Source organism: Homo sapiens, chromosome 12, assembly GCF_000001405.40.
Source record: "Homo sapiens chromosome 12, GRCh38.p14 Primary Assembly".
Classification (NCBI taxonomy): domain Eukaryota; kingdom Metazoa; phylum Chordata; class Mammalia; order Primates; family Hominidae; genus Homo; species Homo sapiens.
This window is the reverse complement of record NC_000012.12, coordinates 26914392-26937388: the sequence shown is the minus strand read 5'-3', so window position 1 is coordinate 26937388 and position 22997 is coordinate 26914392. Positions and strand designations below refer to the sequence as shown.

General features: G+C 36.0%; 1 protein-coding gene across 17 annotated transcripts in view; it reads left to right on the top strand.

The window, feature by feature from the left end:
* The window catches only part of INTS13 (integrator complex subunit 13), a 33152-nt gene that overhangs the window by 944 nt on the left and 9211 nt on the right, over positions 1–22997 (top strand). For 2 of the 17 annotated variants that reach the window (XM_017019632.2, NM_018164.3), the window contains exons 2-12: positions 575–810; positions 2759–2833; positions 8484–8686; positions 9104–9184; positions 11538–11628; positions 12906–13034; positions 14689–14773; positions 19656–19745; positions 19948–20037; positions 21209–21387; positions 22811–22981. In XM_017019632.2, coding sequence (XP_016875121.1) covers positions 586–810; positions 2759–2833; positions 8484–8686; positions 9104–9184; positions 11538–11628; positions 12906–13034; positions 14689–14773; positions 19656–19745; positions 19948–20037; positions 21209–21387; positions 22811–22981 — 1419 coding nt within the window. In that variant the 5' untranslated portion in view covers positions 575–585. Of the gene's footprint in view, positions 1–574; positions 811–2758; positions 2834–8483; positions 8687–9103; positions 9185–11537; positions 11629–12905; positions 13035–14688; positions 14774–18983; positions 19055–19655; positions 19746–19929; positions 20038–21208; positions 21388–22810; positions 22982–22997 lie in introns of those variants that run through there. The other 15 variants (XM_011520750.3, XM_047429144.1, XM_047429145.1 and 12 more) reach the window with 10 other exon arrangements.

Genomic DNA, 22997 nt, shown 5'->3' with positions numbered 1-22997 from the left:
TGGGGTCCTTATCCTAAGGCGAAGACCTGATGTGCGGTTATCTTAGGAGATGTTTATCTTTGTTTTGGCCTTTTCTTTTGCTGTCACTCCTCTTTCCTGTTAATTCCGCACCCCTACCCGCCAGTCCCCCTTCAAACGTTTTTCTTGGAGGGAAGTGCAAAAATGCTGGCTTGGGGTTTATATGTGACTAATGTCAATTAGCAAGGATCATAAAGTTGTATTTCAAGAGTCTTTGTCACTTATGTTTCGTATATGTAAGGGAATCAAATACAATTAAATGTCAAAATGTTTCCCTCTGACAATTTTAAGTTCATTTTAAAAGCAAAACCAAAAATGCATGCACTGGTATTTTTGTCTGGGCCTGGTAGAGTGACAGCCTAATATGGTGTATTGATACCCTTGCTTTCTGGTCATGACCTCATTAAACTGTCCTTTGTCGGACAGATTTCTTTGAACATATTATTCATGTTCCCTACCAAGTCTTCTTGAGGGAAAGACAATCTTCTTGAGAAAATTAGAAAAAATGTAAGATGTTATGTACAAATATTTGGCTAATATGTTTTTCCCCTTACAGGTTAAAACAAAATGAAGATTTTTTCTGAATCTCATAAAACAGTGTTTGTTGTGGATCACTGCCCTTATATGGCAGAATCTTGCAGGCAGCATGTCGAGTTTGATATGCTGGTGAAGAATAGAACCCAAGGAATCATTCCTTTGGCCCCCATATCTAAATCATTGTGGACTTGCTCAGTAGAATCTTCCATGGAATATTGTAGAATAATGTATGATATATTTCCTTTCAAAAAGCTGGTGAGTGTGAAGTACAAACAAAATCATGATTTTGGGGATGTACTTAACTGCATAAATGAATTTTTATATGAATTTGCTATAGATAATGACTGTGTGTTTATTACTTAAAAATGTGGTACATAACGCTGCCCTTTGGGATTAATATATAATGGATATTTAATTGGGGCCAGTAATAATAACAGCTAACAATTATTGAGCACTTTACATGTGCCAGACATATTTCAAAGTGCTTCATATTTATTAATTTCCGTAATTCTCATAACAGTCATGTTAGGTAGGAACTGTAGTTATTGAAGCAATATTCAAAGTATGTAACAACCAGTATAGAACACAGACTGACCATTGAGAGCTGCTGTCAAACTGTGCTGGCATGTAGCAGCTGACTGTCAGTCTTGTTTGTTGCTTCCCTGTTGCAGATCCGGAAACTGAGGTAAAGAGAAGAAACTTGTCCTGAGTCACATAGTTACGTAGAGGCAGAGCCAGAATTTGAACCTAAGCTGGCTAGCTGCTTGCAATTTTAGCAAATATATACTAAACTGCTGTATTGTTTGGCCATATTAGAAAGAAATACTTTTAAGAATGCTAAGTGGATATGGTTTATCAGTAAGAAGAGAAATGGATGATTGACAGAAATTACAGGTATTAAAGTTTAATCTTAGATTTCAGTATCTTAAATGTCTTATTTTGGGAAAGTCATTTGTTTAGCCACAAGTGGAAGACTTGCTTTCTGTCTTACTCGAAGCGCTGGGACCTAGCCAATTCTTAGACTGAGGAAGGTAGGGCAGTAGAGTAAAGGTGAACATAGTCTGATATTATACATTCACATATATTCCAAATTAAAATATAAGCCCTTCTTAAAATTTGTGTGCATTCTGTGTGTGATAAAAATATATAATGAGAGGGAATGTAACTGATTTGGAGCGCAGGCTTCGGTTCAGACCTTGGCGTGGTTAACTACTAGCTGTGTGACTTTGATCATATTTCTTAATCTCTCCAAGCCTCAGTTTCCTCCCGTGTAAGTATAACACTTACTTCCTCGATGTAAGCTTTAAAAGAGATAAATCTACGTAAAGTGACTTGTAAAATATATCCCTGTCAGATAAGCCTTGGAAGAGAAGACCAATTATCAAACTTCTTGGGGGAGGAAGGAAAACTGGTATTTCATCGATATATAGGGAAAAAGATCATAGATTAGATCGTGTTGTCCAGAGTAAAGAAAGAAATCTAACCCTCTAGCCAAAAAGGAACATGGGTCAGAATCATCATTTGATAAGTTTTCCAAAATGTTCTTTGTCATTATCTTACCTGATAGCAGGTAATTTTAAATTTTCAAATTTGCATTTTACTTTAAAACTTAGCGTAAAGACCATATCCATTATTTTGGCTTTCGGTGCCCTATATGATCCAGCTCCTGCCTCTTTCTCTGAGTTTGTCTCCTCTCCCACTGCCTGCTCTGACTTTCACCCTTTCCAGGGTATATGCTTAGATGCCTTTGCATTTGTTATTTGCCGTACCCAGATTGTCTATCCCTGACTTTACGGTGGCTGGTTTTGGATTGCCTTCAGTTGCCACTTCTATGGAGAGTCCTTCTGTAACCACCTAATCTAAAGTAGCTAATTAACTTATTTTTCATAGCGTTTATCACTCTCTGAAATTATCTTGTTCATTTATTTGTTTGTATTCTTCCCGCAGTGCCTTCTGTCCTAGTAGACTCCCCTCCCCTGACTTTCCCCACATTGTGAGTGACAGAACTTTTTTATTCATCACTCTATTCCCATGTACTCAGTGCCAGCAATAGCACCTGGCATATACTACACATTCTGTAACTATAAAAAGAAGAATGAATGAATCAGTGAAACAGTGTTACAAATTGCATATTACTTGAAAATATGTTGGTGATTGAGTGAAATTAGAGTTGAATACTAATTGTTTCTTTGGAATCTATTAGGTGAATTTTATTGTGAGTGACTCTGGAGCACATGTTTTAAATTCTTGGACTCAAGAAGACCAAAATTTACAGGAGGTATGGTTAGATTTTGAGCTGTGGCCATTTGTAAATTATCTAAATGTGGTAATACTTTTTAAAAAAATGACTAATTTTTTAAATCACTCTAGGATTTGCATATAGTGTTAAAATGCCAAGTCATATGAAAACAGCTATCCCCATTCTAGGCTTTCCCTACACCCAGCACCCCCAAGCAAACTTCCATTTTTTAGTAGTTGTCATATTTACTTCCAGATTTCTAAATAACATGTTTTTATTCCTGTTTATTGAGTTCTCTGTTTATTTATCTACTTATTTATTTATTTTGAGACGGAGTCTTGCTGTCACCCAGACTGGGGTGCATTGCGCCATCTCGGCTCACTGCAACCTCTCCCAGGTTCAATAGATTCACCTGCCTAAGCCTCCCGAGTAGCTGAGACTACAGGTGTGTGCCACCATGCCTGGCTAATTTTTGTATTTTTTAGTAGAAATAGGGTTTAGCCATGTTGGCCAGGCTGGTCTTGAACTTCTGACCTTCATATGTCTAATGCCTGTCCCCTTCCCTTGTGTTCTCAATATTAATATGTCAGAATTGTTGGTTATTTCAAAGTTTCATGTTGGCATTATAACATCTACGTAAAGTATTATTCACTGTTAAGCCAAGTAATATATATGGTTAGTTCCTTATATAGCTTTTTGTTTATTCCTGGAATTATTTATTATCTCCTTTTTCTCCCCTTCATGTGTTTTGTTTTCATAATATCCATTGCTGCTTTTTCTCATGCTTCTACAAAACTGCCCAATATTTTGATCATAAATGTGTTAGATAATTCAGCAGTTTGATTTTGTCCCCTGAGGAACTTCTTGGAGCACAGTCTTCTGCTCCAGTTTGAACTGGCTGCTTTCTAGGCCCACTGCACTCCTATCATCCTTCTCTCCCTATTTTTCAGATCCCATTTTTTTTCCTCTCTTTTTCTTTGTGTAATCTTTTGTTTTGGTAGAACATAACCTCCGGGTTGCCTGTAGTTTACCTTGCCCCTTGCTGATACTTTGGGTGTAGAAATTCCGTGTTGGAAATAACTTTTTCCTCAAAATTTTGAGGGCATTATATACTCCACAAAATTATGTGTTTTATAGCCTCCAATGCTGAGAAGCCTAACACCATTTTTCTTTATAATTTCGCACTGAAAGCTGTTAGAATCTCAGTGGTGTGCCTTGGTGTTGGTCTGTTCTCATCCATTGTGCTAGGCTTTGTATTTTCCAGTACAGGGAAATTTCCCCTGCATTGTTTCATTGATAATGTTCTTGTCTCTGTGTTCTGTGTCTTTCAGGAATATCCATTCCTGGGATGTTAGACCTCCTGCATTAAATTCCTTACTGTTTTTCTCACTGATCATCTCATTGTCAGTCATTCTGCTTTTTTGACGCTTTTAACCCTTGTATAGAACTCTCTATTTGATTGTACTTTTAATTTCCAAGAACTTTGACTTATACTCTTAACTATGTCTGTTTTTGTCATATCCTTTTCTTGTTTTATGGGTGTAATTTTACCTGCAGGTATTAACATTAGTTTATTTGATGTTTTCTTTTGTGCCTTCTGTGTTCTCACAGTTCTTTTTTTATGTTGAGGCTTTTCTTAAATGCCTGCTGATAGTTAGCTAGACAGTCTTATTTAAAAGCAAGGCACTAAATGGCAGATTAGAAAATCTACATGTTATGGAGTAGGTATTGCTGACTATATACTTCATTGTAGTTTTAGCTGATTGTTTGCACTAGGGAACCTCCAAATATTGGAGTTGACAGATGGTCTCTCTGGGACTGTTCTTCTACTCTTTTATCTGTATGACAACTTGGTTGTCAGCTCTCTGGGAGACGGGAGAGGGTAAGTTTATACCATTTCCTCTGTAGCAGTAGCCATATTTCAGATGCACAGTAAGCCTCACATAGATAGTGGCTACTGTATTGGACAGCACAGATAGAGAACATTTCCATCATCGCAGTAAGTTCTATTGCGCAGTAGTGATTTAGTATCTTACCTTTACTCTCTTATGTGCTTTTGGTATCCATATTTGATACCTTTCAGTTTCAGTTCTTCCAAAGAATGTGATTCTGTATCTTGTGGGGTAGGGGAGATGTAGTCACTTACACGGGTAGGGTGTAAGTAAGATCTGGGAGTCAAGTTGTTCCTTAAACTGACTTCAAGCTATTGACGTTTTTAGTATCTTGCCTTTCCCCACTGTGTTTGGTAATTGGTGCCTCTAGTTCTTGAACTTCTCCTGGATTCTCCAGTTCTGAACTTCTCCTGGATTATTTTGCCTTTTAGTTTCCATGGGCACTTAGATTTCTGCATATTCAGTCCTATTAAGTTCATCACCACTCCTTCATCCATTTTTATATATTCTTGTTGATGTCTATCTTGTTCATTGTTGTCTCTTCTTCCACTCACTTCACGCTTGTGGGTTTATGCTTTCTTTTTTGGTTTATGAGTGTTTTTTTTTTTTTTTTTTGAGACTGAGTTTCACTCTTGTTGCCCAGGCTGGAGTGCAGTGGCACGATCTTGGCTCACTGCAACCTCCACCTCCCAGGTTCAAGCAATTCTCCGGCCTCAGCTTCCCAAGCAGCTGGAATTACAGGCGCCTGCCACCACGTCCGGCTGATTTTTGTATTTTTAGTACAGATGAGGTTTCACCATGTTGGCCAGGCTGGTCTTGAACTCCTGACGTCAGGTGATCCACCCGCCTCAGCCACCCAAAGTGCTGGGATTACAGGTGTGAGCCACCACGCACAGCCCGGGTTTATGTTTTTTAGTAAGTAAAATCTTTTACTTCGATTTTAGTGGAGGAAGCAGAAATCAACTCATGCTCAACTAGTTAGGTTTATGTTTTAACATTATTTGTCTAAAGATACTGAGTTACTAGTAGCTTATGTTCTTTGCCATCATTTAGTTGGATAGAAGACTTCAGTCTACAAGGTCCTTCCCTGATGAATGTGAACAACATGAGAAACAAGGCTTTAGTGAAATAATTGAATACATTATTTGAATTATTTAATGCCAAAATTTTTTTGTTAACGGGTGCTATGCAGTGGTAACAATCCCATCCAAGGTGTTTTTATTATTTTTTGTTTGTTTTCTTTTTCTTTTATTTATTTTGAGACAGAGTCTCGCTCTGTTGCCCAGGCTGGAGTGCAGTGGCGCAATCTTGGCTCACTGCAACCTCTGCCTCCCGGGTTCAAGTGATTCTCCTGTCTCAGTCTCCCAAGTAACTGGGACTACAGGTGTGTGCCACCATGCCTGGCTAATTTTTTGTATTTTTCGTAGAGATGGGGTTTCACTGTGTTAGCCAGGATGGTCTTGATCTCCTAACCTCAAGCGATCTGCCTGCCTCGGCCTCCCAAAGGGCTGGGATTACAGGCATGAGCCACCGTGCCCGGCTTCTTTTTCTGTTTTTTTTTTTAATTTAATTTTATTTTATTGTTCTCCGAGGTTAGTTTTAAATAGAATGCTTTTAAAGAAAATGTGTTTTATCATACTGTTTGGTCTTAAAATGTTTGTGATTAGTATTATAATATATGTAAACAAAGCTAACCTTTCATTCTTTTGAGGTAATTCACTCAGTAGGCTTTGATTGGCTTGGCTTTGCACTAATATCATTCCAGAATGTTCTTAATATACTATTACCTGAAAAAACAATTTTAAGAATTCCATACGTTTCCACCTTACTTTTTTAAATACTGTGAAAGAAGTGTTTACCTTTTTCAAGAGGTACTGTGAAAGAAGTGTGAAGGCTTTCTAGTAGTGTATGAATAAAAATAAGTACATATCTGTGTAGATTTGTACCTACTGACTGCACCTCTGCAGTGCAGTAAAAGTGTGCATTTGATGGATAGGTATGCTAGTCATAAAGGAATTATTACTTCTTTTGCTTTCCCAAGGTGAAGGTACACGATATCCCATTCATTGCTTTTAAATTTTGAATGGAGGGGGAATCTCCAGTTGTGAAAGCAACTATATAGCAAATCACTGGTGTTCAAGAATGTATAAAAGAATGTACATTTTGTATAAATTGTGTATAATCTTGTCTATATTTAATGTTTAGCTTTGGTTATCCATGTCACACCTTTTCCCTATGTTAAACCTTTCTGTGTCTCTATGTCTATCTTGTGCCAGTACCGTACTATCTTGGTTACCATTGTTTTGTAGTAAGTTTTAAAAATAGGAAGTGTGACTCTTCTTACCTTGTTCTTTTTGAAGATTGTTTTGGCCAGTCTGGGTCCCTTGCAATTCCATATGAATTTTAGAATCACGTTATCAATTACTACAAAGAAGTTGGGGATTATGTTGACACTGTAGGTCAGTTTGGATAATATGGCCATCTTAACAATATTAACTCTTCCAATCCATGAGCATGGTATGTTTTTTCATTTTTTAGATCTTTAATTTCTTCAACAATGTTTTGTTGTTTTCAGAGTATAAGTTTTATAGTTCTTGTTAAATTTATTTCTAAGTATTTTATTTTTGATGCTGTTTTAAGTGGGATTTTAAAAAATTTAGTCTTCAGATTATTGTAAGTATATAGAAATACAATTGATTTTTGTGTATTAATCTTGTATACTACAGGTTTGCTGAACTTGTATATTAGTTATAATAGTTTTTTAGTGGATACCTTGGGATTTCGTAAATTCAGGATCATGTCATCTGCAACATAGAGTTTTACCTCTTTCTTTCCAATCTGGATTCTGTCCATCCTCTCTCTCTCTCTTCCTTCCTTCCCTTTTTCCTTCTTTCTTCCTTTCTCTTTCTTCCTTTCTTTCTTCCCTTTCTCTCTCCTTCCTTCCTTTCTTTCTTCTTTCCTTCCTTCCTTTCTTCCTTTCTGTCTTTCTGTCTTTCTTGTCTCTGTTTATCACCTAGGCCAGAGTTCAGTGGCTGAACTCCTGGGCTCAAGCGATCCTTCTGCCTCAGTCTTCTAAGTAGCTAGGACTATGGGTGTACATCACCCCACCTAGCTGATTTTTTAGTTTTTTTTTTTTTTTCTTTTTATAGAAACGGTGTCTTGCTTTGTTGCCCAGCCTGGTCTTGAACTCTTGGCCTCGAGCAATTGTCCTGCCTTGGCTTCCCAAAGTACTGGGATTACAGGCATGAGCCGCTGGGCTTGGCATGAATTTCTTTTATTTCTTTTTCTTTCCTATCACCTTGGCTAGAACTTCCAGTACAGTGTTGAATGGAAGTGATGAGAGTAAACATCTTTGTTACTGATAAGTAGGGAGAATTCATCCAATCTTTCACCATTAAGTATGATGTTATCAGTAGGTTTTTCATAGGTGTCCTTTATCTTCTTGAGGAAATTCCCTTCTGTTGCTAATTTTTTTAATTATGAAAAGGTTTTGGATCTTGTCAAGTGCTGTTTCTGTGTTTATTGAGATGATCATGTGATTTTTATTTTATTGATATATGATGTATTGTAATAATTGATATTTGCATATTAAATAAACTTTGCATTCCTAGAATAAATCCCACTTGTTCATGGTGTATAATTCTTTGTGTGTTACTGGATTTGGTTTGCTACTATTTTTTTAAGAATGTTCATGTCCATATATGTAAGATACATTGGTGTGTAGTTTTCTTTCTTGTGATATTTTTATCTGAATTGCACATACTCTTGTCAACATAATTGTTTTCCCTTTTACTTAGCTAATGGCAGCATTAGCCGCTGTTGGGCCTCCTAATCCTCGGGCAGATCCAGAGTGCTGCAGTATTCTGCATGGCCTTGTTGCAGCAGTGGAAACTCTCTGCAAAATTACTGAATACCAACATGAGGCTCGTACTCTACTCATGGAGAATGCAGAACGTGTTGGAAATAGAGGACGAATAATCTGTATTACTAATGCAAAAAGGTGAGGTGTTGATTATAGCAATTCTTTCACTGTGGGAATTTTAAAATCCTGTTGTAGTTTTTCAGAATAGTAGAGACAGCATGTTTACATGTTTACGTTTAAGCATATTACAAGTGGCCTTTCTGATTTTTTTCTTTTTTTTTTTTTTGCCTTTTAATATTGAGGCTGTGTTCCATTCTAAAATAAAGACTTATCTCATTGAAAACTGTTTAGATTGCCATCATGTAGGTAAATTTAACATTTTTTCTCACTGGTTTTTCAGCTAGTTGTTTAGTGGTATGACTTAGCACACTAAAGATAGTCCTTAGTGAAGTAACTTTAAATGTCTATAACACCATATTAAAGCGGAAGAGTGTTTTGAATTTTTTCTGTTACTGTTTATTCCTTTAAATTTGCTATATCTTTTTTATGCCATAGTGATAGTCATGTGCGAATGCTTGAAGACTGTGTCCAGGAAACGATTCATGAACATAACAAGCTTGCTGCAAATTCAGATCAGTGAGTATAATTCATAAATGAAATAAATATGTTCATGTGGATAGATATATGTTATAATTATTTCCAATAACTTGACTGGTAGCGTTTCCCTGAATTCTCTATTGACTCAACAAATTAGTCAAAAAATGTATGTTTGATCAGAAACTTTTTTTTCCATTTTCCCTTTCACTTTAATTTACTTTTCTCCCACAAGAAAGGTGATCAAAAGGATAAAATAATACATAAATTTATAATGTGTATTTGTTTTGATGGTTTTTTTCTCATAGTTGTGTTTCGAATTTGTAAAATGTGTTGGGTGTAGTGGCTTATGCCTGTTATCCCAGCACTTTGCGGGGCCGAAGTGGAGAGATAACCTGAGCTCAGGAGTTCAAGACCAGCCTGGGCAACATGGCAAAACCCCGTCTCTACAAAAAATATAAAAATTAGCCGGGCCTGGTGGCATGTGCCTGTAGTCCCAGCTACTCAGGCAGCTGAGGCAGGAAAATTGCTTGAGCCTGGGAGGCAGAGGTTGCATTGAACCGAGACTGTGCCACTACACTCCAGCCTGGGCGACAGAGCAAGACCATGTCTCAAAAAAAATTTAATTTAATTTAATTTAAATTTAAATTTTTAAAAAATTGTTAAATGTGCAAGTTGTTAGTGGCGTTATTCAGTATGTACCACATCTAAACATAAGTAGTTGCATTGTGTGACTTTTTAAAAAAACTTTTTCTGTTTCTGAAAAGGAAAACAGTTTTTTTTCCTCTATACTCACACTAGTACTTTTGATCAAATGTGTGGGTTTTTCTTCCGCACCAATTCTCCAACTCTGTGAATACCAACTGTGTGTCCTACAATTCAATTATGACAATCCTTGGAGTTAATACAGACCCCACAGATTAGTTATTGCAGACTCAGTTCCACAAGACTGTAACCCACTTAGACACAAATCTCGACTAGTGGTTCCCCACACTTTCGTCTGACTTGGCTACAAGTTAGGTGTTTCCACAACCCCCTCCTCATGTTCAATACTTTGTTCTGATGGGCTCACAGAACTCAGGGAAACACTTCAGTTTTCTGATTTATTATGAAGGATACAGATGCACAGACACATGAAGTGGGTGAGGTTGGAAGGATCCCAAGTGCATCAGGTTCTGTCCCTGTGGAGTTGGGGTGTACCACCCTCCCAGCACATGGATGTGTTTACCAACCTAGAAGCTCTCTGAGCCCCATACTTTAGGGATTTTTATGGAGGCTTCATGTAGGTGTGATTGATTATTAACTCAGTATCTAGCTTCTGTCCCCTCTCTGGAGGATAGCAGAGTGGGGCTGAATGCTGCTGAGCTTCTAATCATTGCTTGTTCTTTCTGGTGACCAGACCCCATTGGGGAGCTGTCCAGGATCCCACTAAAGTTGCCTCAGTAGAAGAAAAGATGCTCCTGTCATCCAGGAAATTCCAATGAACTTAAGAGCTATGTGTCAAGAACTGGGGTCAGAAACCAAATATTAGAGCAAAAGATGCTCCTAGCACCCCTGTCATTTAGGAAGTTACAAGGATTTTGGGAGCTCTGTGCCAGGAAGCATGAGCAGAGACCAATATGTATATTTGTGATTGTGTCACAGCTAGTAAAGACATGTTTGGAACTATTGCAATGTGGACTTTTTTAGAGTGATTATTAGTTTTCTTAGGTGCGGTCATAGTGTTATTGTTATGAGTAGGATTGTTCTCACTAGGCGAAGCAGGCTGAAGTGTTCAGGACTACACGTCAAGCCCTCTGCAACTTACTCTCAAATGGTTTAATTAAAAAGTGTACATCTACCTAAGTATAGTATATAGAGAAAGCAAATATAGCTAACAGTGACTCTAGGTGAAGGACATACGTTGTTCATTGAATAGTACTTTTCTTTCAACTTTCCTGTGGGTCTGGAAATTTCAAAATAAAAAGTTGGGGGAAATTTTTAGCATTACCAATCCTATAACTTGGAAATAACTAATTATAGCTAATGGTTAGTATTGCCTGATTTTATCCTTAAGAAATATTAGTATAAGGGAAATTAATACACAATATATTCATTTTCGCTGTTGCAGTTATCTATTGAAAATTAGACTTAATTATAAGAGTTTTCTCTTTATCCTTCAGACACTCACAATTATTATTTTTTGCATTTAAATTAAATTTGTATACTCATTAAGTGTTCATACAGGTATAGCAATTACATATACTGCCTTTCTAATATTTAGCTTTTGGGTTAACAGTAATATCTAATTGTAGCAATATGATGTTTTAATATGTTAAGGTTTTAGTAGTTTACCTGCTTGAATTCTTTACATACTATGTATTCTTAAATTTTAAGTCAAAAATTTCTCTTTAAGTCTCATGCAGATTCAAAAATGTGAGTTGGTCTTGATCCACACCTACCCAGTTGGTGAAGACAGCCTTGTATCTGATCGTTCTAAAAAAGAGGTGAGTGTTGAAATAATGAAAGAAAAGACTATTGTGGTTAATAATAATAAATACTGAGAAGGGTTATCATTAAAATGATCCATTGCCAATATTTTCTGCCAAGAAAATATTTTGAGTTTTCAAAGTAAACCTCTATGTCAAGACATCTAGGTTGGTTCTTTATGGTATAATTGTGGATTTTAAAGTGTTTCCTATTCTGCCTGCCTTTTCATGTTTGTTTATTTTATCAAAATGTGTTACAAACCATACATAGTTTGTATTGTTCCTAAAATTTTATTTTAGTGATTATTTTTATTCTGTAAAAATCTTTTTCCTTATTAGAAAAGCAATACACTCTTTAACAAAAAATATTCCAATAAAAAATTAATTTTACACATTCAGAGGGAAAAATCTTATTTTCCAACCTTGGTTTTACTTTTTAAATAAATTTGAATAATTTTAAAGGAATAGATGATCCTGTTGATTGTCAAATAGATCCACATCATAATATTCTCTATCAGTAATTTATGTTTAGAAATATAGATATATGTCCTGGTTTTTCATTTTGCATTATTTAATATAAACATCGCTAGTATTACTTTTGTCCATGAATTTTTGTAGTTAAGTGGTATTTTTAGTCATTATTGCCATCATTGTGTTTTTAAGTGGTTTCCAGCATAAGCCTCTTTTTTATTAACTTTTTTCTGCCTCTTTTGATAATGTGGCAATGTTAGTTTTATTTTATGATAATGAAAACTTATTTGTAATTAATATTATTGCCCTGGAATGAGTAAGATTTTGTGTTATCTTGTTGTACACTACTTCTAGCTGCCTTATTTATTGGTGACAGAATGAAATTTTTGTGGCGATTTCCACATTCATTCTTTTAGTTTTATCTGCAGGGTTTTGTCCTCTCAACAAAATAAATTATTTTTTCTGCAGTGTACTTCAAATCATTTTTGCATATAGATAAAAAGACGTAAAAATTGTAAAGAAATATATTTAAATATTTCACTCTAAATTTCAGGAGGACAGGGATTATGTCTGTTCACTGCTGTGTTCTGTATACTCACAGTTTCTGGTATCTAGCAAACTGATTAATACATATGTGGTGAGTGAATGAATGCATGAAAATGTATTGCTAAAATAATTGTCATGGTTAATTTATGGATCCTTTTTTTCCAACTTCTAAAAAGTTAAAAATACTTAATTTTAATGGATTTATACTAAAATATTTAGCAGTAGGTCACAATGAATTAATATTTTGTGGATTATTTTTCTTGTATGTTTTTCTGTAGTTGTCCCCGGTTTTAACCAGTGAAGTTCATAGTGTTCGTGCAGGACGGCATCTTGCTACCAAATTGAATATTTTAGTACAGCAACATTTTGACTTGGCTTCAACTACTATTACAAATATTCCAATGAAGGTAGGCAGTTCTTTTTCCTGCTATTTTGAAAGCACTGCTTTGCTTTTTAAATATTTGTTTGAGGCCAGGCGTGGTAGCTCATGCCTGTAATCCCAGCACTTTGGGAGGCTGAGATGGGAGGATCACTTGAGGCCAGGAGTTTGAGACCAGTCTGGTCAACATAGTACGATCCCATCTCAATATTAAAAAAATAAATAAATAAATAATTGTTGGACATGTATTATTTATTTTAATTGAACCTTTACCTTTTCTCCCCATATCGTATTTTCTGTTTTGCTAGCCCACATTCAATGTCTTTGACCAGGTCAGTAAATACTGAAAAGCAACCAGAAAGGATCACAGAATAAAATGCTATATTTTTGTTTTCTAATAAGAACACGTTATGTGAGCTCTCTTAAAAAAAAATGCTGTCATTGTTTTCATCAAAATATAATTTCTATTTTAAATTATTATTCTGTGATTCTTTTCTTGACAGCTGTGTTATTAGATTTTGCTTACTTTGTGTATTCTAGTGGATCTTTTATTCTCTATGTTTTTGTTGTTGCCCACCCAGTATAAAGGTGTTTATAGCTAATAGGTCTAACTAGGGGAAAATAGCTCATAGTTTTAAATCAGTTTATTACTCTCTAACTGAAAGACCATAGATGTGAGCTCTGTGATTTTACTGGTGGATTTTTTAAGGAATCTATTGCTAGCTGTTCATTTTCATTATATTAACATTATCATTAAGTTGTTTTAGGGCTAGCACAGTGCCCGGCCCATAGTAAGCTTCAAATGGGTTTTTACTGAGTGGAATGGAATTTAATTGTATTGATTATGTTTACAAATATAAGGTAGCCACTATATCTCAAAATTCAAATTTTTCTTACATTCCAGTTTCTATTTTCTGCCACTATATTATGAACAATAAATTGCATGAGAATTATAATCTTTTCATTGTTAATTTCTTAATGCCATTGGCCGGTTTTTCACTACAAATGTTAGGCTTACCCTGTAGAACCTTTTGGATGCAGAAGTAAATAACATAATAGGTACACTTTAATATATATAATGTCATGTGTTATAAGAAAAATACTCTGATAGCTTGCCTGTTAATTTTGATCATATTTGTGTGCTACTGGTGTGACTCTTCAATCTTTGTGTTTTTTGGTAAACAGATAATGTTGAAATTCCTATTTCCTATTACTGAAAACAAGTTACTAAACTTGTTTATTAGTTTATATTTTATATAATTGATATTTGGTAATTCACTGTAGGTATTTAAAGATGCTATTTCCTCTTTTTAACAATGATTTCGCTTTAAATTTATGTAAATTATTTCAATTACATTATATTTGTATATTAAAAATATTGGCAAGACTGCATTTGGAGTAAAAAAAATTCAAAATTTCTGAGTTAGTCATCTTTGTTAATTCTGACATAATGTAAAAAAATCATTAAATACTTTATTACCTGTATATTGCCAGTTGTTTTTTAATGGAGTTTATGTTGCATGGAACACTTGCATCTTTAAATAGATTATCCCATTATTTTAGCTAATTATTATTGAATGTATTTGCCCTCATTTTAAACAAAAAGCAAATGAATAATTAATAATTTTATTATTTTGAAAGCAAAACCAAGTTTTTTAAAATGTTTGAAATTTTACTTCAAGGAAGAACAGCATGCTAACACATCTGCCAATTATGATGTGGAGCTACTTCATCACAAAGATGCACATGTAGATTTCCTGAAAAGTGGTAAGAGACATTTGAAAGTATTATTTTGTATGATCTAACATATGAAAGCATATTACAGTAGCCCCCACATCCTCAGGGAAGACATTCCAAGACCCCCAGTGGATGCCTGAAATCTCAGATGGTCTCGAACCCTATACTGTATACACTGTTTTCTCCTATACGTACATACCTATGATAAAGTTTAATATATAAATTAGGCAAAGCAGGAGATCAATAACAATAAGAATGAAATTGAACAATTATAACAATATATTATAATGAAAGTTATATGAATGTAGTCTCTTGGTCTCTCTCCCTCTTTCTCAAAATATCTTATTGTACTGTACTCATCGTTTTTGGGATGATGTGAGATGATAAAATACCTACATGATGAGATAAACTGAGATGAATGATACAGGTATTGTGACATAGCATTAGGCTACTATGGACCTTAAACACAAGCACTATGATACCTCGACAGTGGATCTGATAACCAAGAAGGCTGCTAATGGACTTGTAGTGTTTATAGCATATATATGCTGGACAAAGGAATGATTCACATCCCAGGCAGGACACAGTGGCATAGTGTGAGACTTCATCATGCTACTCAGAACAGCATGCAGTGTAAAACTTATGAATTGTTTATTTCTGGAATTTTGTATTTAATGTTTTTGGGCTGCAGGCCGGGGGTAGTGGCTCACACCAGTAATCCTAGCACTTTGGGAGGCCAAGGTGGGCAGATCACTTGAGGTCAGGAGTTCGAGACAAGCGTGGCCAACATGGCGAAGGCCCGTCTCTACTAAAAATTAAAAAATTAGCCAGGTGTGGTGGCGTGTACCTGTAGTCCTGGTTACGTGTGAGGCTCAAGCAGGAGAATCTCTTGAACCTGGGAGGCGGAGGTTGCAGTGAGCTGAGATCATGCCACTACACCCCAACCTGGGCAACAGGGTGAGACTCCATCTCAAAAAATACATATATATCTTGGGGCTGCAGTTGACCACAGGTACTGAAACCACGGAAAGCGACACAGCAAAGTCGGGGGACTACTGTAACAGCTTTGAGAAGTTCTTCAGTACAAACCAGACTGACTAGTTCATCCCTGTGCAAACTTATCTGTCAGTATCACCTATTAATGGCAATGGAACTAGTGTCCTGTGGAATTTACTTCGGAAAAGACTGGGCTAATAGAACAAATACTGAGAAAGATAGCCATGGCTTTCTCAAACTCATTACAGTTTCATTTGCAGGCAAACAACCTTGAGGAAGGGAAAAGAATAGGAGCAAACTCGAAAGAGTGATAGACTTTCAACTTGGCCTAGAAATTAAATTTTGAAATTTAAGTTAGTTTTTTTTCCTCTAAAAATTATTTCAATCCATAGATCTCATCTCCCAAACTGATTTCTGCAACTGTATTGGCTTGGTTTAGGGGAGAAGACTCTGGAGTTAGGAGATAAGTTTTAGCTAAAGCTTTGCCACCAACTGGCAAGACCCATATGTTTCTAGATGTATGTTTGCATGCTTATGAATGAAAGATGCTGGATTAGATGAGCTGTAGTATTCCATTCAATTCTAAAATACAATGAAAATTTTAAGATGTTGAAGGTCATTTTAAAAGCCTTTAAGCTTTGACATTTGGTTAAATTCTTTAGAATGTTTTCTAGTAAATTGATGCTGCCAGAGAAACGGTTGACTTTGATTATGTTGTATGCATCTTCTGAAGCATAATCATGAGCCAATTGTGACATTTGTTACATGTCTGAGGAATCTTAGAATAAACCTAATGAACTGCTAACATGAAAGAAACTATTATGATGCAGGGATATATAAACGTTTACCAAAGGAATATAGAGAACTTGTTTTTGAAAATATATTACATGGAAATTGCTACGAACCTGTGATGTGATATCAATTTTTAAAATGTTATTTTAAAAACTTACAAAAATGGGCCAGGCGCAGTGGCTCACACCTGTAATCCCAGCACTTTGGGAGGCTAAGGCAGGTGGATGACGAGGTCAAGAGATTATCCTGGCCAACATGGTGAAACCCCGTCTCTACTAGAAAATACAAAAAATTAGCCGGGCATGGTGGCGTGCGCCTGTAGTCCCAGCTACTCGGGATGCTGAGGCAGGGGAATCGCTTGAACCCGGGAGGCAGAAGTTGCAGTGAGCTGAGATCATGCCACTGCACTCCAGCCTGGCGACAGAGCGAGACTCTGTCTCAAAAAAAAAAAAAAGTGTCAAAAATATCCTTTGTAACACAAAATAGTTCTTTAAAATAGTTGTTGACTTGGCCTGTAGTTATATGCATTACATGTGGACACTATGTGTCAAAAGTTATTTTAACAATAGGAACAGAGTGCTGTGGGAGCACGGAGGAGGCTGCCTGTGGTTGTGCCAGTAAGAGTTAGGCAGGTTTTACTGAGGTGGTAACAGTGTAGCTAGGTCTTGGTGAGTAGGCTTATACTTTAGCCCAGATACCTTCCCTAAGTTCCAGATCTTTTTTTTTTTTTGAGACAGAGTCTCGCTCTGTCGCCCAGGCTGGAGTGCAGTGACGCGATCTTGGCTCACTGCAAGCTCTGCCTCCTGGGTTCACGCCATTTTCCTGCCTCAGCCTCCCGAGTAGTTGGGACTACAGGTGTCCACCACCATGCCTGGCTAATATTTTGTGTTTTTAATAGAGACGGGGTTTCACCGTGTTAGCCAGGATGGTCTTGATCTCCTGACCTCGTGATCCGCCCCCTCAGCCTCCCAAAGTGCTGGGATTACAGGTGTGAGTCACCGTGCCCGGCCCCTAAATTCCAGATCTTTATATTCTACTTCCTAATTGTATCTCTTAGATGTCTCTCAGTCACCTACACTTCAACATGCCCAAAACAACTTAGGAGCTTTGCCACCTGAACTAGTCTGTTTCCTTTTTCAGTGAATGGCCCTGTTGTCTGTTCATTTATGTAAGGCAGAAAACCTCAGAATCGTTTTTGAGACATCTAATCCATCATCACATTTTCTTGATTTTGTCTACTAATTTTTCTCTCGTACATCAAAATCTCCATCTTAGCTACCAATAACATTTCCCTAATCCAGCCTTTTATTTCCTTACCTAGTATCTCACAGTAGCCTACTAAATGGCCTGTCCCTATCTACTCTTTACCCTCTAGCTACAGTAACTTTCAGAATGCTAATCCTGACCATGTTCTCATGACCTTAAACCCGCCCCGTGCCTATGCTTTTCTGTTGCCCTTAGGAAACAACAGAGCTGTTTAAATGTCTTACAAGGCCCTTCATTGTCTGGCCCCCTCCCCCTTTTTATTCTCATCTCAAAGCATACTAATCTTCTCTGTTTCAGCCACACAGATCTAATATTTTTCATGCTTCCTCCTGCCACAGTATCTTGGTATCCATTGTTCTTTTGCCTGAATAGTCTTTCCTCTATTTCTTCTTCTTTTTTTTTTTCTTTTTTTCTTTTTTTAATCTGAGACAGAGTCTCACTTTGTGACTCAGACTGGAGTACAGTAGTGTGATCATAGCTCACTGCAGCATCGACCCCTCGGGCTACAAGCAGTCCTTCCACCTCAGCCTCCGGAGTAGCTGGGACTGCAGGTGCATACCACGAAGCCTGGCTAATTTTTGTATTTTTTCCATAGAGACAGGGTCTCACTATGTTGCCCAGGCTAGTTTCCTGACCTCCTAGCAATCCTCCCACTTAGGACTCACAAAGCACTGAGATTTTAGATGTGAGACACTGCATCTGTTCCATTTCTTTACTTAATTTCTACTCATACCCTTATAACTCAGACCAGTCTTCACTTCTCAAGGAAACTTCTCCTGGTGTTTTGGAATAGGACAGATCTCCCTCTACAGGCACTCATAGCACTGTAGATTTTCCTTCAAAGCCTTGTCAGCTTTATGGTTGCACATTTGTTCATTATTATTAGATTAATATCTTCTTACGTATTTACTTTCCAGATCCCTTGGTTTGTGTTTCTTCTAACTAAACTTATTAGAATTCAGTATGGTTGTGCATTTTAGATTCCTTAAGCTTTTTCTGAGTACTTAACCATGTCATTTTATCATTTAATAGTGTGGGCAGGGAAGAGCAGTTGTAGATGCTTGAGATTTTTTAAATTCTTGCTATTGACTTTCAGTGCAATGACCTAAATGATTGATTAATGATGAATGTGGAGGAAAATTACTATTTATTTTAATCATAGATAATATCTTTGGTATTTGTCCAGGGGACCTGATAAAAAGATGTTGTCTCAGAGATATTTTCCCTTGGAGAGTTTAAACTCATTTGGAAATCTTGGTAAATAATTTGAAGCTTGTGATCTACTTGATAATGTTAGTGTTTCTCTGACATTTTTTTCATTGTTGTTTTTAAGTGAACTTTTAATTTTAGAGTAGTTTCAGATTTACAGAAAAATTGTGAAGACAGTACAGAGTTCCGGTTACTCCATACCCAGTTTGCTCTATTATTATTTTTTGCTTTTATTATTATTATTATTTTATTTATTTTTTTGATACAGAGTCTCACTCTGTTGCCTAGGCTGGAGTGCAGTGTCGTGATCGCAGCTCACCGCAACCTCTGCCGCCCAGGTTCAAGCGATTCTTCTGTCTCAGCCTCCCGAATAGCTGGGATTACAGGCACCTGCCACTGCGCCTGGCACATTTCTGTAGTTTTAGTAGGGACAGGGTTTCGCCATCTTGGTCAGGCTGGTCTTGAACTCCTGACCTCGTGATCCACCTGCCTCAGCCTCCCAAAGTGCTGGGATTACAGGCATGAGCCACTGCACCCGGCCGCTTTTATTATTTTTTAAATTAAAACATAATTGTACATATTTATGGGATACAGTGTGATGTTTTGATACATGTATACAATGTGTAATGTCTCTGACATATTTTTAAAGGTGATTCGCATCTAGGTGGCGGCAGTCGAGAAGGCTCGTTTAAAGAAACAATAACATTAAAGTGGTGTACACCAAGGACAAATAACATTGGTAGGTATTTAAGAATAACTGAAAAAGACGAAATCAAAAGGTTCTTAAGGTATTATATGGGGGTCAATTTATTCTGTTTTGCATTTTCGTTTTTCATTGTTTCAGGACTCAATGAACTCAGTGAAGAAGTTTTTTTTTCTTTCTTTTAATTGTGGGAATATTTCTTTATATTCTTTCAAATCAGTGTTTTCTTCTATTTCAGAATTACACTATTGTACTGGAGCTTATCGGATTTCACCTGTAGATGTAAATAGTAGACCTTCCTCCTGCCTTACTAATTTTCTTCTAAATGGTAACTTTAATTATTTAATGGTTTTGACTGAAATTATTTATATTATTTGAATTATTTATTATTAAATTATTATTTGAGTGAAATTATTATTAAGAATATGAACTCTGGAAAGCTATATTCATCACTGTAGCTTTGCCATTTATTTGCCAAAGCTGTTTTAAACTTATGTAATTTGAAATACCCTTTAACAGTTTTTACTAACATTTAAAAGATGACTTTAGGTTTGGCTTTCAGGCTATTGCATCTAAGCAGGTTTTATTTAATAAAATTGTGAGTATTTTTATTTAAAAAATTTGACCTTCAGAGTCTAAATTGATTTGTTTTAGAAGCTATAATTAGAAAATAGATTTGAAGAATTAAATAGAAGCTAGAATAATATAGACCATTTATCTTGGCCCATTGAATTTTAAATCAAATCAAAGGTGGACTTACTTATATTTGAACATGATACCTTTATCATAAATAAATATTATGTTTTTAGTATTATACCATATGATTCTTACCTGTGACCTTAAATCTCTGGTTTCATTGTGTGAAAATTTTTTACAAGTCTTAATTATTTGATTCCAAATTAAAAGCTTCTCTGGTAATTCTTATGATCATCTCAGGTTTTGGAACTAGTGATCTAAAGAGTCAGTCTGTCTTTATCATAAGGTTATGTCATTCTTAGTTAAGCATAATTTGATTATCAGACTAGGTGAAATTCAGATTAACATTTGGACATGTAGAATAGAAAGTAGTTATGATTACAGTGTGGATGAGGAACTGTTGTGTAAGTGAACTGAGACTGTGCCTTCTCCCCAAATGTTCTGTAGCATTAATAACCTGAGGATTATGGAGCAGTTGTCTCACTTTTCTTCTTGAGGTCCAGGAGAAAAATTCAATATGTACATGTAATTGGATGAACCATATAGCCAAACGTATTATGCCAGAGACCACTATAGTTGTTGTGAGAAACTGTATTAACTATGTAACCTTGGAGTAACTGAGATAAAGTTAAGGCTAGAATTCAGATTTTTAGGCATGGAAGAGTAGATACACTAAATTAGCAATGCTGGTTAAAATACGGGGATCAATAAATAAAATGAAAAAATCTAGACATAAATCTCAAGGAAATAAATGAGAGCCCATTTGAGTTTCATTACTGATAGTGTAATCTTGTTTTTGACAGGTCGTTCTGTTTTATTGGAACAACCACGAAAGTCAGGTTCTAAAGTCATTAGTCATATGCTTAGTAGCCATGGAGGAGAGATTTTTTTGCACGTCCTTAGCAGTTCTCGATCCATTCTAGAAGATCCACCTTCAATTAGTGAAGGATGTGGAGGAAGAGTTACAGACTACCGGATTACAGTAAGACTCTAATATCTATAAATTTTAAGTTTTGAATCTGTCATCATTCAGCAAGTAGTTATCGAGTGCTCGTTAAATGCTAAGGTCTGTGGAAAAAAAGAGACTGGAAGAAGTTGATTATTATTTTAATTAGGTGAATTTCCTGCAATATTTGCTCAAAAATTCTATTTATCATTGTTTAATCTTATTGTATATTCAGTATATACTGAGATGTATCTGAATTGCAATGACACGCTGGAATTGTAGGAAATAATAAATTGATTTGAACTAATATTTTAGGTGAAACTTAATTTCTAGTAATTTAAATGGCAAACAGAAACCTGGAATATTTGGATTGCTGCTACTTAGAAATAACATAAACTTTTGTATTATTGGGAGGAACATAAAAGGAAATTTATGTCCATTTTTGGTAGAAATTCTGTTCTAATCTTGATTTTTCATTCTCCCTCCTCTCTTTCCTATTTGGTATTTCATAGCTATTTACTTCTTGAGGTGGTTGTAAAAACTAAGTGTGATTTATATATATGAATATGCTTTGTAAACCACAAACTGTTATATACTGTAAGTAACTTTTTAATTAGGATTTTTTTAAAAAACATAATATTTAAATAAGGAGAAGCCTAATCAATATTTATTGTAGAAAATTTAGAGAATATAGATATCGTAAAAAAACACCCACACCTGTAAATTACCTATAATTTCATCATTCACAGATAACTATTGTTGACATGTTTATGTTATGTCAAGGTAGTTTTTTTGTTTGTTTGTTTGTTTTGAGACAGAGTTTCGCTCTTGTTGCCCAGGTTAGAGTGCAGTGGCGCAATCTTGGCTCACTGCAACCTCTGCCTCCTGGGTTTAGGCGATTCTCCTGCCTCAGCTTCCCGAGTAGCTAAGATTATAGGCGCCTGCCACCATGCCCAGCTAATTTTTGTATTTTAGTAAAGATGGGGTTTCACCATGTTGGCCAGGCTGGTCTCGAACTCCTGACCTCAGGTGATCCACCTGTCTTGGCCTCCTGAAGTGTTGGGATTACAGGTGTGAGCCACCGTGCCCAACCTCAAGGTAGTTTTTAAATAAGCAAATGGGTCTTCTAATGTGATTAACTGACTCTTTTATCTGTGTGTGATAGAAAAGTTAAATTACAGAAGGGGAAAAAAAGTGTTCCTTGGTTTTTACAAAAGGTGGGGAAAACATACCATGAATGCATTTATGTTTGAGGCTTTCTTCATTTTCATCATATAAAGGCTGATAGGTTTCAAGTTCAGAAAGGATAAAAAAGTAGTGGAGTTAAGGGATACTGTTAGAAAAAATGTTTTGTTGCACATCACAGGACAGAAGACATCAGGGAAACAGACTAGTACATGTAATCCATACTGAAACATTAGACATAGTTTCTAATTTTATCTTATTTGGTTATCATTAGGATTTTGGTGAATTTATGAGGGAAAACAGATTAACTCCTTTTCTAGACCCCAGATATAAAATCGATGGAAGTCTTGAGGTCCCTTTGGAACGAGCAAAAGATCAGTTAGAAAAACATACCCGTTACTGGCCTATGATCATTTCACAAACCACCATTTTTAACATGCAAGCGGTAAGTGTTAAGTAGC